Source organism: Homo sapiens, chromosome 17 (assembly GCF_000001405.40).
Source record: "Homo sapiens chromosome 17, GRCh38.p14 Primary Assembly".
Taxonomy (NCBI): Eukaryota; Metazoa; Chordata; class Mammalia; order Primates; family Hominidae; genus Homo; species Homo sapiens.
The window spans coordinates 31,667,505-31,684,678 of record NC_000017.11 but is presented as its reverse complement, the minus strand read 5'-3'; the positions used below and the strand labels follow the sequence as shown (position 1 = coordinate 31,684,678).

Sequence of the window (17,174 nt, the reverse complement as noted above, 5' to 3'; positions counted from 1 at the left end):
ATCTGATTTACTATTTTTGGAGATCTGGGCTATTTCTAGTATTCTGGCTTAACAAGAAAGCTGCTAGACATTCATTGTTCATCACTTTTGGTGCAGATACACTGCATGAGTTCGTCTAAGTATGCTTCTACTTATTCAACTTTACCAGAAGGTGCTGAACTGTTAATCAAAGTGGTTGCACCAATTTATTGTTCTTATAAGCAGTGTATAAGAGTTCCTGCAGCTACACATCCTCACTAAGCACTCGGTAGTGTCAGAATTTGACTGTCCTTATGGCATGTATGTAGTAATATCTCTTTGTGGTTTCAATTTACATTTTCCTGATTATAAATGAGATTGAGCACATTTTTATGTGTTTATTAGCCATTTGGGTTTCTTCTTTTATAAAGTGCCTAGAAAGAATTTTGCCAATTTTTTTTTTGAGATGGGGTCTCACTCTGCTGCCCAGGCTGGAGTGCAGTGGCATGATCGCAGCTCACTGCAGCCTCAATCTCCTGGGTTCAGGTGATCCTCCCACTTCAGCTTCCCAGGTAGTTGGGACCACAGGCGTGCACCACCAGCCTGGCTAATTTTTATATTTTTTGTAGAGACAAGGTTTTGCCATGTTGCCCAGGCTGTCCTGGACCTTCTGGGCTCAAGTGATTTGCTTTGCCTCAGTCTTCCGAAGTGCTAGGATTACAGGTGTGCGCTACTGGGTCTTTGCTGTTGGGTTGTATTTATATAGTCTTGTTGCTACTTTTTTGTCAATTCTTTGAGTTGCAAATATCTTCCCTCACTCTGTGAATTGTTTTTTTCCCTCTTTTAAGAGCAGAAGTTTTTAATTTTAATGTAGTAGAGTTTATTAATGTGTTCCTTTATGATTTGTACTTTTTGTGAATGTGTTTAAGAATTTCTTCTCTGCCAGCCATGGTGGCTCATGCCTGTAATCCCAACATTTTGGGAGGCCAAGGCAAGCAGATCAAGAGTTCAAAACCACCCTGGCTAACATGATGAAACCTCTTCTCTACTAAAAGTACAAAAATTATCCAGGCATGGTGGCAGGCACCTGTAATGCCAGCTACTCAGGAGGCTGAGGTGGGAGAGTCATTTGAGCCCAAGAATTTGAGGCTGCAGTGAACTATGATCACACCACTGCACTCCAGCCTGAGCAACAGAATGAGATCCTATCTCAAAAAAGAAAAAAAAAGATAAGATAAAAAATATGCCTCTGACATATATCATGGTTCTTATTCCATCTGGAATTGATTTTTGTGTATGGTGTGAGATAAGGGTACAATTTTCACCCCCTCCCCACAATATGAATACTCAGCTACTCGAGACCCATTTATTTATTGCAAAGTCCCCCCTTTTCTCCCTCTCTGCAATCCATCTCTATCATTCACTGTGCCCATATTAGCAGGAACCTATTTCTGGACTCTCTTTTCAGTTCCATTGGTCTATTGTTCCATCCCTGAGCCAACACTACATTGTCTTGATTACTACAGATTTATAATAATCTTTATATTTGGTGAATCAAATTCTTCTACCTTGTGAGGGAAATTTCAAGGGTCTCTGAACTATTCTTGTTCCTCTGCATTTTCATATAAAGTTTAGAATGAGCGCATCAAGTTCCACAAAATAAAAGGTAAGTAGCAGAGATTTTAATTCAATTGTATTGAATTTATAAATCAGATTGGGAAGACTGTTGAGTTTGCCAGCCCACAAAGTATATTTCTGCTTTTATTGAAGTCCTTTAAAAAATAGCTTCAATGGGGTTTGCTTGACTTACAATAAATTGCACATATTTAAAGTGTACAATTCAATAAGTTTTGACATATGTATACACCCATGAAACCAACATTACCATCAAGATAATGAACATATCCATCAGTGGCTAAGATTTCTTCCTGCCCCAGTATAATCCCTCCTCCCCAACACACCCCACCCTCACCTTCATAATGATGTTGAACTTTTTTCCTTTTTTTCTTTTTTCTTGAGACAGAGTTTCACGATTGCTAATATTTGTATTTTTTTTTAGTAGAGACGGGGTTTCACCATGTTGGTCAGCATGGTATTGATCTCTTGATCTCGTTATCCACCCACCTTGGCCTCCCAAAGTGTGAACTTATGTGTATATATCTTCTTTGGTGAAGTGTCTTTTCAAATCTTTTGCTTATTTGTAACTGGGTGGTTTTCTTATTATTGAGTTCTGAGAATTATTTATATTCTGGATATAACTCATTTTTTAGATATTTGCTTTGCAAAGATTTTCTTCCCCCAGTGTGGGATTGTCCTTTTATTCTCTTGTGTGCCTTCTGAAGAGCAAGAGCTTTAATTTTGATGAGGTTCATTTTATGAAATTGTTCATTTACAGATTGTGCTTTTCTTGTTATATTTAAGAAATCTTTGTGGCCGGTTGCGGTGGTTCACGCCTGTAATCCCAGCACTTTGGGAGGCCGATGCGGGCGGGATCACCTGAGGTCAGGAGTTTGAGACCAGCCTGGGCAACATGGCGAAACCCCGTCTCTACAAAAAATACAAAAATTAGCCGGCCACAGGAGGCTGAGGCAGGAGAATCACTTGAACCTGGGAGGCAGAGGTTGCAGTGAGCCGAGATGGCGCCACTGTACTCCAGCCTGGGCAATAGAGTGAGACTGTCTCAAAAAAAAAAAAGAAAAAAAAAAAGAGAGAAATCTTTGCTTAACCCTAGTCACAAAGGCATTCTACTATGTTTTCTTCGTATAGTTTCAGTATTTACATTTAGGTTTGGGATCTATTTTGAGTTAACTTTTGTATGTGGTGGAAGGTATGTTCCTGCTTTTTTGAAGTCTTTTTAAAATGTCTCTCAGTACATATTTATAATTATACCACAAACAGATTGCACACCTTTTGTTAGTTTTATTCCTAGTAATATACTATCCTTGATGATCCTGTAAATAATTTTTTTAAAAAACATTTTTTTTTACTTCTGGTTGCTGATATACAAAAATGTGAATGATTTTATTTGTATTAAATTTGTATCTACCAATATTGTCAAGCTTTCTTATTAATTCTAATAATTCACCTATAGATCCTTTTGGATTTTCTATATATGAAGTTTATATCACCTGCAAATAATGACAGTTTTAGTTTTCCTTTCCAATTCTTTTGCACATGACTTATAATTGTTATGTTTTCTAGGTGAATTGACCCTTTTACCATTACGAAGTGATCCTCTTTTCTTTTGTACCTTTTTTTTTTTTTTTTTTTTTAAGACAGAGTCTCACTCTGTTGCCCAGGCTGGAGTGCAGTGGTGTGATCTTGGCTCACTGCAAGCTCTGCCTCCTGGGTTCACATCATTCTCCTGCCTTAGCCTCCCGAGTAGCTGGGACTACAGGCTCCCACCACCACACCTGGCTAATTTTTTTGTATTTTTAGTAGAGACGGGATTTCACCGTGTTAGCCAGGATGGTCTCCATCTCCTGACCTTGTGATCCGCCTGCCTCAGCCTCTCATAGTGCTGGGATTACAGGCATGAGCCACCACGCCCAGCCTTTGTAACTTCTTTTAACTTAATATCTACTTTGTCAGCTATTAATAACATGGATATTTACAATAATTAACATACTATACAGAGGTTTTCTTTTGGTTAGGATTTGCATGGTTTATATTTTTCTATCCTTCTGCATTTACACTTTATGTGTTTTTAATGTATCTTTTGTAAAAAGCGCATAGTTGAATTTTTATTTTAAAATCATGTTGATAATCTTTACCCTTTAATAGAATAATTATATAATCAATATACTATGTATCTTTGGGTTTACATTTACCATCTTATTTTGTTTTCTATTTGTCCTGCCTGCCCCATATTGCTTTTTGTCTCCTTTCTTGCCCTTTTCTTGGGAGTAACTGACTCTAGAAAAAAAATTAATTTTAATTTGTAAAAACATCTTTTCCCATTCTTTTAGTGATTACCTCAGAAGGTGCAGCACGCATTCTTTTTTATTTTGAGAGACAGGGTCTCAAACTCCTCGACTCAGGTGATCCTTCCACCTCATCCTCCTCCTGAGTAGCTGGGACTACAGGTGTCTCACCGCACCCAGCAACATGCATTATCAATCTACCAAAGCCAAAAGTTGATCAAAACCTTCAACTTCCACCAAAACAATGAAAGATTCTTAAATCAGTTTGACTCCACTAACTCCCTCCTGGTGTAGATGCTATTGTTTTATTTAATGCATGTTTATTAATTCCGTGTGAGTGTGTGTGTGTGTGTGTGTGTGTGTGTGTAGATAGATAGCATGTGAGTGTGTTCAAACTTGTGTAACAGTAAGAGTTTAGTCAGTAAAACAGAAATGACTCTAGACACGTCAGGCTGAAGCCGCAAGACTGGGGACTTTTCCCTGACTCTCTACGTGTCGTACTCCTACTTGAGTATATCCTTTTCTACCCAATGTAATAAATTCCCTTTTGTCTCACAAAAGGAAGTTGCGGTTGTCACTTCCATTTCTAGCGGTGGAAGGTTGGCCCACACCGTCTGAGGTGAGGGATCAGGGGTGGTAAGTCAGATGGGAGAACTGGGACATTCCCTGTCAGCAGCTGATTGGGGACTGAGAAGGAGCCCATATTCTTTAGAAAAGAACCTTCTACCAGTCCTGTAATCAGGAAGTGGCCCAAAGGATGATGGTGCCTTCCTGATGCTGTGTGAACGTGGCAGTTCAGCTAGGGTGGGCTGCCCCCCTAAATCCTCTGCAGGAGACACCCTACTAACATGACCCCTGTTGTGGGGTCTGCCTCACAGGGAGAAAGCATTGAATTTGAAACCTGGAGGTGTGACCCTGAATTGGTATGACCCTAAGTAATATTTCCTCAACCTCTCCAAACCTCAGTTTCCACATCTGTAAAATGGGGAGAGCAATACTTACCCCCAACGGGTTGCTGGACGGTCAAATTAAATCACTTATGTTAAAAAAATTAAAAAAGCCTAGCAGAGTGTCTGTGTGTCATATAATGGAGCTAGATCAAACCATCCGCAACACAGGCAACACGAAGGACTGCTGGAAGGATGGGAGGGCCAGGGGACTCGTAAGAAATACTGAAGAAGAGCCGGGTGCAGTGGCTCACGCCTGTAATCCCAGCACTTTAGGAGGCCGAGGTAGAAGGATCACTTGAGCTCAGGAGTTTGAGACCAGCTTGGGCAATATGGCAAAACCCCATCTCTACCAAAAATATATAAATCAGCCTGGCATGGTGGTGTGTACCTGTAGTCCCCACTACTTGGGAGGCTGAGGTGGGAGAATCGCTTGAGCCCAGGAGACTGAGGCTACAGTGAGCCTTGATTGTACCATTGCACTCCAGTGTGGGTGACAGAGTAAGACTTTTTCTCAAAAAAATTAAAAATAAAAGAAATAACTGAAGAAGGAGCAGCAGAGAGAAAGAGAGAGAGGGAGAGAGAGGGAGGGAAGGGCCCTGGGTCCAGGGCTTGGATAAACAGCCCTGGGTTTATCCAACTCCCTTTACTCTAATTCAAGGCTCACCAGGCAGCCTCTGGTTATTAAATTGTTTTCCTATTGACCTTGGTCTGGTCCTGAAGACAGGAGCGACCTACTGGGTATTAGGCAAGTTCACACATTGGTTGTTTATTGCCTTAACTCTGCACAGAGGTGTCATTAGCCTCTTTTTTTCCAGTGAGAAAAACTCAGAGACACTAGGGGGCTTGCTCAAGGTCATTCTGCTGGGAAGCAGGAAATCCAGGATCTGTCCGGCCCCAGCATTCTCTTTCCCACCACAGCACACTTCCTCCTAGCAGCAGGTCCAGGGCCCCCAGCACGGGTACCTTTGACGCTGAAAAGCCATGCTCTCATTGCAGGCTTCTGAATGGGCATTCAGCTTTTGCAGTGGAATCTTAACTTTGGGATTTAATTCCTCCCTTTTCTCCTTCCAGCCTGAGCCCCCCCTCTGCCCATCCCTAGTGACTTGAGAGAAATCAGGCTCTAGAATCACCCAGACCTTGAACCAGTGTGACTCAGCAGCCCCAATGGAGAGGGCTGTCCTCTCCAGCAGCCCCTAAGCTCCAGCTGTCACCACTGGCATTGCTTCACTTGGAGAATCTTTTGTAACAGTGATGGGCCCTGCCAGCTGAAGGTGTTAGGAGGCCTGCCAAGTTGCCTGGGGCTGGAGGGTAGGCAGCAACCAAGCCCACTGCTGGGTTTTTACAGCTTCCTACATGTAAGGTGACTAATGTGTCCCAGTTTTCTCATCAAATTCCCAGGAAATTTGGGACGATTGGCCACCCTACCTCCAAGTCCAAAGCACTGTCTTTGCACCGATAGCTATGGTGGGCAAGCCAAGGGGTGGATCCGTTTGCCTCGTGGGTCCATCCTTTGACCCAGACACTGGGCAGGAATGGGTACCTGTCACCCAGCTTGCCTCCAAAAGCCATTAATAGGCTCAGAATATGTGACCCCTAAGCCAGTCAGCCCAGCTCGTCCACTGTCTCAGGGACCATGGGGTTAAGGGAATAACTGTTTTAGGAAAAAAGCAAGCTGGATTTTTTCAACTTCCTTTTCCTTGTCAATGTCCAACCACTCCTGCCTCCTTAACAATGCTCTGTCCATCTTCTGGCTGGCCTTCCTATCAATTTTCTCCTGATGGATTTGCTGCCGGAGAGGTCACCTCTGGCCTGGCTCTTATGAGCAGTGTGCCTTATGGCAAGCATGTGCTCCGGGGCTCCAGGGACAGCATGACCTTGGCCCTGCTCCTTCAGCTTCTGACTCTTGGGAGATCAATGCATGGAGAGGGAGCATCCACGCTAAGGAATGAGTCCCTCTCACGGCCACCGCTTCAGCTCAGAGCCTGGACTGCAAAGGGATCATGACAGATTTCCTCCAGGGAGAGGATGTGCATCCTAAGCTCTGTGGTCAGGGTCTGGCCTGGGAGGTTCTGATGAGAGGCCTGGACAGTTGTGGTTGGCAGAACAATGGCCTCCAAAGAAATCCACTCCCTAATCCCCAGAACCGGTGACTGTATTGCCTGACATGGTAAAATGGACTTTGCATATAAGAAAGTTAAGGCTCTTGACATGGGGAGATAGACTCGATGTAATCACAAGGGTCCTTATAAGAAGGAGCCAGGAGGTCAGAGAGAGGAGAATGAGGCAATGTGACAACAGAAGCAGAGATTCAAGTCATGCGGCCACAAGCCAAGGAATACCAGCAGCCGCTAGGAGAGTCAGGGAGCGGATTCCCCCCAGAGCCTCCAGAGGGAATCAGCCCTACAGACACCTTGATTTGAGCCCCTAAGGCTCATTTCATACTTCCAGCCTCCAGAACCATAAGAGAATAAATGTGCTTTCTAAGCCACCTAGTTTACGAAAACTTGTTACAGTTGAAATAGGAAACTCAGTGTGATTTGAACAAGGCATGATCATTATTGCTCAAGTTCTGAGAAAACGGGGGCCTCCCAGCTCAGTGAGGGGGGCGTGGTAGGGCTGAGCACCAGGTTTGGCACACACAACATGCTCTGTAAAGGGGCACTCCTGGCCTCGTTCCCAACCTGTTGCAGAGAATCAGGTAAGTTCCCTGAGAGGAAAGGTGTCTGACTTTTTATCTGTATCCTCACTACTCAAAGTTGGTCCACAGACCAGCAGCATAGACTCCACTTGGAGTCCACTGCAGAATCCCAGGCTCCAGCCCAACATAAACGAGTCAGAACCTAGATTTTCACAAATCCCCCGCTGCTTCTCGTGCATACGAATGCTTGAAAGGTGCTGATCATAAGAGCTTGCTAAATCCTGAGAACATTGTGGTGAGGCAGGCACAGCAGTTATCACCTGTAAGCAGAGAAAACAGAGGTCAAGTGACTTGCCAAGGCACACACAGCTGGTGAGTGGCAGAACCAGGACTCAAACCCCTGTATGTCTAACTTTAGAAGTGGCATCTTTGCCAACAAGAGGTGAGGTAGAATGGCCTAGAGGCATCACACCCGAGACCCCAGCTTCCTGCCCCTTTCTGCTCATACCTGGATCATGCTCATTTTCATCCTCCCACCTGTCTCTACTCACCTTTCTCTCTTCCTTCCTCCCCACTCCTCCCTCCTCCCTCCTTCCTCCCATTTTTCTTTTTCTTCTTTCTTTTTTCTTTTCTTTTTTTTTTTTTTTTTGACAGAGTCTCACTCTGTCACCCAGGCTGGAGTACAGTGGTGCCATCTCAGCTCACTGCAATCTCGCCTCCCAGGTTCAAGTGATTCTCTCTGCCTCAGCCTTCCCAGTAGCTGGGATTACAGGTGTCCACCACCATATCCGGCTAGTTAGTTTTTTTTATTTTTAGTAGAGACTGGGTTTCACCATGTTGGCCAGGCTGGTCTCAAACTCCTGACCTCAGGTGATCTGCCCACCTTGGCCTCCCAAAGTGCTGGGATTACAAGCCTGAGACACCGTACCCAGCCCCATTTTTCTTTCATTCTATTTTTTCGTTCTCTCTCTTTCCTATCCTCCCCTCCCTCCCACCTTTCCTTCCTTCCTCCCTCCTTTCCTTTTTCCCTCCCTCCCTATCTTCCTCCCTCCCTCTCTCTTTTTCTCCCTCTCTCCCTCCCTCCCTCCCTCCTGAGAGGTGAAGCCGGCTGGGCTTCTGGGTCAGGTAGGGACTCCAAGAACTTTTCTGTCTATCTATAGGATTGTAAACACACCAATCAGCACTCTGTGTCTAGCTAAAGGTTTGTAAACGCACCAATCAGCACTCTGTAAAAACTCACCAATCAGTGCTCTGTGTCTAGCTAAAGGTTTGTAAATGCACCAATCAGCACCCTGTAAAAATGCACAAATCAGTGCTCAGTGTCTAGCTAAAGGTTTGTAAACGCACCAATCAGCACTCTGTAAAAACAGACCAATCAGCACTCTGTAAAATAGACCAATCAGCGCTCTGTAAAATGGACCAATCAGCAGGATGTGGGTGAGGCCAAATAAGGGAATAAAAGCTGGCCACCCCTCTGGTCACCTTCCAAGTTGTGGAAGCTTTATTCTTTGGCTAGCTGCAATAATTCTTGTTGCTGCTCACTCTTTGGGTCCGCACTACCTTTGTGAGCTGTAACACTCACCACAAAGGTCTGTAGGATCACTTCTGAAGCCAGTGAAATCACGAACCCACCAAGAGGAACAAACAACTCCAGACGTGCCACCTTTAAGAGCTGTAACACTCACTGCGAAAGTCTGTGGCTTCACTCCTGAAGTCAGCGAGACCATGAACCCACCAGAAGGAAGAAACTCTGGACATGTTTGAACATCTGAAGGAACAAACTCCAGACACACCATTTTTAAGAAATGTAACACACACCATGAGTGTCCACAAGTTCATTCTTGAAGTCAGCGAGACCAAGAACCCACGGGAAGGAACCAATGCTGGACACACTCCCTTCTTTCCTTCCCCACTCACTGTGCACTCCTCTGAGCCAAGCCCTGGTATGGAGAAGGTCCTGCCTTCCAGGGGTGCACCTCAGTGCTCTCCACACCTGGCTGAGCATCACAAGCACTTGGACAATCTACTTATTTCTGACATCTGGCTACACTCCAGAGTCTGAGTCAGATTCTCCCAGAGCAGGGCCTGGGCTTGACTATCTTGAAATCACTCCTGAGGTGATTCTGATGCAGCAAGCAGATCTGCACATGGGAGTGGAGAATCACCAGTTTGGAGGAAGTCTTAGGTGTGCTGAGGACAAAGAAAAAGAAGCAATCAACCCTAGGGTATGAAGCAGGAAGGGTCCACTGCTAGGAAACAGGACTTCACAGAGGAGATGACCGAAATCGGTTTTGAGGGATGTATAGGAGTTTGTCAGGAAGGCAGGGTTTGGATGGGAGTAGGAAAGGTGTTTTAGGTAAAGAAAGCAATTTCTACAAAGGCGTGGAGGCAGAAAACAGTGACATATTCGGGAAGCTGTAAAAAATTTAGTGTGGCTGGAGGGTCAGGCAGAGATACAGCTGGAGAAGTGCCAGAGGCAGGTCACCAGCAATGCAACAGCCCAGTTTGTCTTTACGTTTCCTCAGAAAACCCTTTCTGCCCCTTGATCATCATTTTTAGTTTCTGTGGACCCTTTCCCTGCATTTTTTCGAATGCCACGATGCCCAGAGGGACCTGTATTCTGCTGGCATCTAAAACCAGAGGAAATGGAGCCAGGGAATGTCATCCAATCTGAGTCTGTCCAATAGCCAGAAACTTCCCGAGGGGCCTAGGCATACAGCTACTGCGATGAGTAATGCACAGAACCCGCAAGACTAGGGTTTGAATTCCAGCCCTGCCTCTAAGCTGTGGAGCCTGGAATTGGGTATGGAACCATTCTGAACCTCATTTTCTTCTCTTTTCAAAACAGGATAGACACTGGAGGCATGGCTCTCCTGTGTCGATCCGCCAGTGCCTGGCACATTGTAGGCATGAAGCAAATGCAGCCTTCTTCCCTCCTTGCCTACTGCACTACACTCACCCACATCCAGTTGCTTTCCTCTAAGCCTGCAGAGCTGCCAGTTATCTCGGGTTTTTTGTTTTGAGATAAGGTCTCACCCTGCCACCCAGGCTGAGGTGCAGTGGTGTGATCACGGCTCACTGCAGCCTTAAACTCCTAAACTCAAGTGATCCTCCTGCCTTGCCTCTCCAAAAGCTACCACTACAGGCGTGCACCACCTCACCCAGCTAATTAAAAAGAGTATTTCTCATGCCTGTAATCCCAGCACTTGGGAGGCCAAAGCGGGTGGATCATCTGAGGCCATGAGTTTGAGACCAGCCTGGCCAACGTGGCGAAACCCTGTCTCTTCCAAAAAATACAAAAATTAGCCAGACATGGCAGTGTGTGCCTGTAATCCCACCTACTCAGGAGGTTGGGGCACAAGAATCCTTGAATCCGAGAGGTGTAAGGGGCAGTGAACTGAGGTCGTGCCACTGCACTCCAGCCTGGGCGACAGAGTGAGGCCCTGTCTCGAAAAAATTTTGTTCTCTTTTTGGTAGAGATGGGTTCTCGTTTTGTTGTCCATGTTGGACTTGAACTCCTGGCCCCAAGTGACCCTCCCTTCTCAGCCTCTCAAAGTGCTGGGATTACAGGTGTGTGCCAGCGTGCCCAGCTAATAACCTGTTTTTTTCTTTTGTTTTGTTTTGTTTTTTGAGACGGAGTCTCGCTCTGTTGCCAGGATGGAGTGCAGTGGCGTGATCTCAGCTCACTGCTACCTCTGCCTCCTGGGTTCAAGTGATTCTCCTGCCTTAGCCTCCCAAAGTGCTGGGATTACAGGCATGAGCCACCCGGCCGTAACCTGATTTTTAATGACATAATGTCCGGTATTGTTATTTAGATGAAAGCCGCATGACTGTGGTCAAGCCCCTCCTCCTCTGAACCTCAGCTTGCTCATCTGTGAAACGGGAAGAGTCATGTGGCAATGCCCGGGTTTTTGCAAGATCTAGACGTGTTGTCGCTGACCAGCAGCTGTCATCCCTTATGTGACCCTGCTCCCAGGTAACAGTGTGTGTGCAGGGATGAACTCATAACCTCCCTGGCCAATTGTGCCTTTCCTTGGACACTACTGAGTTGGGCCTCACCAGGAGGAGTGGTTTCTTCTGTGGGCAAAGCTGTGAAGGCAAGAGTCTGGAAACTGAGAGAAGACATCTTCCTCCACCACATGGAGAAGATGCTCTGTGATAAGAATCGGGACCACAAACTGGGAAGCAGCTCTGAGGGGCAGAGAGATCCTCAATGCACTTGAGTTCCTGATTCCAGTTCTAGGAGAGGTGAGCCAGACCCCTGCCTTCTTGCCCTTTGCACTTGATGATTACTTTTCTGGAAACTTTCCAGAATAATTTCATCCTTTTGCCTAATTAGTTCAAATTGGTTTTTTGTCTCTGGTACTGAAGACGAATCAGGTTTGTGTTACTAACCCGATTTTCAGGTGAGGAAACTGAAGTGCAGAGAAATCAAGTAGCTTGCCCAAAGTCACTCAGGGGGTAAAATCAGAGAAGGGATTTGGACTCAGGACCACCTTAGCCCAAAGCCCCTCCCCTGCCCTCAGTCCCACTCTGTGTCTTGTAAAACACAGCAGGCTCCCTGGAGAAGCAGCTCTGTTTCTTTCTGAATCAGCAGAAGCCAGTCAGGAAAAGAGAAATCATGCCAGGATCTCAACAGGGGAAATTTAATATGAGGATTTGGTTACACCTGGCAGGAAGAGAAAAAACAGAATACTGAGGAAAACCCAGAGAAAATAACTATAGAAAGCAGCCATCACCTTTAAGGCTGGGGGGATGAAAGGGAAGAAAACAGGAAACTAGGAGCTTGGAAGGGTGGAGCTTGGGCACTAAGAGCAGTGCTGGCCAGCTCCGAGGGTTCTTCTTTCTGAGCAGGCAGAGGAGGGCTGGCACCGGGATGCTGAAGGACGCTGGAGACTGGACCAGCTGCCACTGCTGGGCTGCACTGACAGGAACAGCAAACAAACGGGAAGGGAAAAGCACCTTCTCCCCTCTCCTGCCTTCCGATCCTTCTCCGGGACTTCCTATGGAGAGATAGCACCAAATAGAAAGCCAGCTGGCAAAGGGGTCTGGGCACTGTAGTTGCAGAGGTGCAGCCCAGCCCGGCATCACTGAGCCAGTGTAGAAGGGGGACTCAGAGCTGAGGGACCCTAGGGAAATAGTGGGCACATCTTCCATCTTTTCTACTCCTGTGGGCAAAGAATTGGGTTATTCCGAATCAAGACCCAAATCTATCCTTTGTCCCTTTCTCTGATCTCTTTCCTCAACTGTAGTGCGGGACACAGAGCTGGCCCAGAGTCCAGGCTTTTGGCCCCAGGTACATCAGATACATTGCAGGAACTGAAGCCACGAGGCAGGCTTTTTTTTTTTTTTTTTTTGACAGGGTCTCCCTCTGTTGTCCAGGCTGGAGTGCAGTGGTGCAATCACTGTTCATTGCAGCCTTGACTTCAAGGGCTCAATTGATTCTCCTGCTTCAGTCTCCTGTGTTGCTGGGACTACGGGAGTACACCACCCATGCCCAGCTATTTTTTGTATTTTTTATAGCAATGGTGTTTCACCATGTTGCCCAGGCTGGTCTGGAACTCCTGGGCTCAAGCAATCTTCCTGACTTGGCCTCCCAAAGTGTTGGGATTACAGGCATGAGCTGCCACGCCTGGCTGAGGCTGGCTTTGGGAGTGCTGGAGGAACACGTTTGCCCCACCCCAGCTCCCTCCCATGAGAATTGCAATCTGCCTTGTCCAGGTCTTTATCAAAGACTCCAGGGAGCCTGGATAGCTGGCATGGAGGATTAGCTGCTCCCTGGCCAGGGGGCAAGGGCAGGATTCACTGTGGCAATAGGGACCTTCCTAACCCATCTGGAGGTCACTTTTCCAGGCACATCTGCTCAGACACAAGGTCTGACTGCAAGGCTTATTGGGAAGGTGAGTCTTCACTTTGGCCCCTCCTGCTGCCTCATCCCTATGCCCTGTCATTCATTAGGTCAGACTCCGAAGCCTGGGAATCCTCTGTGTTCAGCAGCTTTTGGGCCCCTGAAGCCATTTGAAGCTGCCCGAGTCTCTTCCCTGTCTCGACTTCTCCTTCTACCCTTTCACTTTTCTTTTCTCTTGTAGCAGAAAGAGAATGATGGGATTTGGACATTAGTCACACTTTGTTCTACCACTTCCTGACTATAAAGGATATTGGCAGTGATCAGAGGTCCCAAGATGGCTGAATAGGAACAGCTCCAGTCTACAGCTCCCAGGGTGAGCGATGCAGAAGACGGGTGATTTCTGCATTTCCAACTGAGGTACTGGGTTCATCTCACTGGGGCTTCAGACAGTGGGTGCAGGCCATGGAGCAGGGCGTGGCATCACCTCACCAGGGAAGTGCAAGGGGTCAGGGAATTCCCGTTCCTAGCCAAGGGAAGCTGTGACAGATGGCACCTGGAAAATCAGGACACTCTCACCCTAATACTGTGCTTTTTCAATGGTCTTAGCAAACGGCACACCAGGAGATTATATCCCGAGCATGGCTTGGAGGGTCCCACACCCATGGAGCCTCACTCACTGCTAGCACAGCAGTCTGAGATCCAACTGCAAGGTGGCAGCGAGGCTGGGGGAGGGGCGCCCACCATTGCTGAGGCTTGAGTAGGTAAACAAAGTGGCCAGGAAGCTTGAACTGGGTGGAGCCCACCACAGCTCAAGGAGCCTCCCTGCCTCTGTAGACTCCACCTCTGGGGGCAGGGCATAGCTGAACAAAAGGCAGCAGAAACTTCTGCAGACTTAAACATCCCTGTCTGACAGCTTTGAAGATAGTAGTGGTTCTCCCAGCACGGAGTTTGAGATCTGAGAACAGACAGACTGCCTCCTCAAGGGGGCTCCTGACCCCTGAGTAGCCTAACTGGGAGACACCTCCCAGTAAGGGCCGACTGACACCTCATACAGCCAGGTGCCCCTCTGAGATGAAGCTTCCCAAGGAAGGATAAGGCAGCAACATTTGCCGGTCTGCAATATTTGCTGTTCTGCAGCCTCCACTGGTGGTACCTAGGCAAACAGGGTCTGCAGTGGACCTCCAGCAAATTCCAACAGGCCTGCAGCTGAGGGTCCTGACTGTTAGAAGGAAAACTAACAAACAGAAAGGACATCCACACCAAAGCCCCATCTGTACGTCACCATCAAAGACCAAAGGTACATAAAACCACAAAGATGAGGAGAAACCAGAGCAGCAAAGCTGAAAATTCTAAAAATCAGAGCACCTCTTCTCCTCCAAAGGAATGCAGCTCCTCAGCAGCAATGGAACAAGGCTGGATGGAGAATGACTTTGACAAGTTGAGAGAAGAAGGCTTCAGGCGATTGGTAATAACAAACTTCTCCAAGCTAAAGGAGGATGTTCAAACCTGCAAAGAAGCTAAAAACCTTGAAAAAAGATTAGACGAATGGCTAACTAGAATAAACAGTATAGAGAAGACCTTAAATGACCTGATGGAGCTGAAAACCATGGCACAAGAACCACGTGACACATGCACAAGCTTCAGTAGCCAATTCGATCAAGTGGAAGAAAGGGTATCAGTGATTGAAGATCAAATGAATGAAATGAAGCGAGAAGAGAAGTTTAGAGAAAAAAGAGTAAGAAGAAATGAACAAAACCTCCAAGAAATATGGGACTATGTGAAAAGACCAAATCTACCTCTGATTGGTGTACCTGAAAGTGTCGGGGAGAATGGAACCAAGTTGGAAAACACTCTTCAGGATATTATCTAGGAGAACTTCCCCAACCTAGCAAGGCAGGCCAACATTCAAATTCAGGAAATACAGAGAATGCCACAAAGACACTCCTTGAGAAAAGCAACTCCAAGACACATAATTGTCAGTCTCACCAAAGTTGAAATGAAGGAAAAAATGTTAAGGGCAGCCAGAGAGAAAGGTCGGGATACCCTCAAAGGGAAGTCCATCAGACTAACAGTGGATCTCTCGGCAGAAACTCTACAAGCCAGAAGAGAGTGGGGCCAATATTCAACATTCTTAAAGAAAAGAATTTTCAACCCAGAATTTCATATCCAGCCAAACTACGCTTCATAAATGAAGGAGAAATAAAATCCTTTACAGACAAGCAAATGCTGAGAGATTTTGTCACCACCAGGCCTGCCTTACAAGAGCTCCTGAAGGAAGCACTAAGCATGGAAAGGAACAACCGGTACCAGCCACTGCAAAAACATGCCAAATTGTAAAGACCATCGATGCTAGGAAGAAACTGCATCAACTAATGAGCAAAATAACCAGCTAACATCATAATGACAGGATCAAATTCACACATAACAATATTAACTTTAAATGTAAATGGGCTAAATGCTCCAATTAAAAGACACAGACTGGCAAATTGGATAAAGATTCAAGACCCATCAATGTGCTGTATTTAGGAGACCCATCCCATGTGCAGAGACACACATAGGCTCAAAATAAGGGGATGGAGGAAGACCTACCAAGCAAATGGAAAACAAACAAACAAAAAAAGCAGGGGTTGCAATCCTAGTCTCTGATGAAACAGACTTTAAACCAACAAAGATCAAAAGAGACAAAGAAGGCCATTAGATAATGGTAAAGGGATCAATTCAACAAGAAGAGCTAACTATCCTAAATAGGTATGCACCCAATACAGGAGCACCCAGATTCACAAAGCAAGTCTTTAGAGACCTACAAAGAGACTAGGACTCCCACACAAAAATAATGGGAGACTTTAACACCCCACTGTCAACATTAGACAGATCAACAAGTCAGAAAGTTAAAAAGGATATCCAGGAATTGAACTCAGCTCTGCACCAAGTGGACCAAATAGACATCTACAGAACTTTCCACCCCAAATCAACAGAATTACATTCTTCTCAGCACCACATCACACTTATTCCAAAATTGACCACATAGTTGGAAGTAAAGCACTCCTCAGCAAATGTAAAACAACAGAAATTATAACAAACTGTCTCTCAGACCACAGTGCACTCAAACTAGAACTCAGGATTAAGAAACTGACTCAAAACTGCCCAACTACATGGAAACTGAACAACCTGCTTCTGAATGACTACTGGGTACCTAACGAAATGAAGGCAGAAATAAAGATGTTCTTTGAAACCAATGAGAACAAAGACACAACATACCAGAATCTCTGGGACACATTCAAAGCAGTGTGTAGAGGGAAATTTATAGCACTAAATGCCCACAGGAGAAAGCAGGAAAGATCTAAAATTGACACCCTAACATCACAATTAAAAGAACTAGAAAAGCAAGAGCAAACACATTCAAAAGCTAGCAGAAGGCAAGAAATAACTAAGATCAGAGCAGAACTGAAGGAAATAGAGACACAAAAAACCCTTCAAAAAATCAATGAACCCAGGAGTTGGTTTTTTGAAAAGATCAACAAAATTGATAGATTGCTAGCAAGACTAATAAAGAAGAAGAGAGAAGAATCAAATAGACGCAATAAAAAATGATAAAGGGGGTATCACCACCGATCCCACAGAAATACAAACTGCCATCAGAGAATACTATAAACACCTCTATGCAAATAAACTAGAAAATCTAGAAGAAATGGATAAATTCCTCGACACATACACCCTCCCAAGACTAAACCAGGAAGAAGTTGAATCCCTGAATAGACCAATAACAGGCTTTGAAATTGAGGCAATAATTAGTGCCTACCAACCAAAAAAACTCCAGGACCAGACAGATTTACAGCCGAATTCCACCAGAGGTACAA

The 17,174-nt window shown here is 45.6% G+C and overlaps 3 annotated features.

Annotated features, from left to right (window-relative positions):
- Positions 4,274-4,383: an enhancer, noted in NCBI's record as "active region_12019". NCBI's record gives its function as "activates an Ori minimal core promoter by ATAC-STARR-seq in GM12878 lymphoblastoid cells {active_cell/tissue: GM12878}" and the evidence as "EXISTENCE:reporter gene assay evidence [ECO:0000049][PMID:35858748]".
- Positions 6,126-6,627: an enhancer, noted in NCBI's record as "H3K27ac hESC enhancer chr17:30005071-30005572 (GRCh37/hg19 assembly coordinates)". NCBI's record gives its function as "activates a minimal SCP1, AML or CMV promoter by ChIP-STARR-seq in naive H9 embryonic stem cells {active_cell/tissue: H9 hESC(naive)}" and the evidence as "EXISTENCE:reporter gene assay evidence [ECO:0000049][PMID:30033119]".
- Positions 13,048-13,232: a silencer, noted in NCBI's record as "fragment chr17:29998466-29998650 (GRCh37/hg19 assembly coordinates)". NCBI's record gives its function as "represses an EF-1alpha promoter that drives an FKBP-Casp9 reporter gene in an ReSE screen in K562 erythroleukemia cells {active_cell/tissue: K562}" and the evidence as "EXISTENCE:reporter gene assay evidence [ECO:0000049][PMID:32094911]".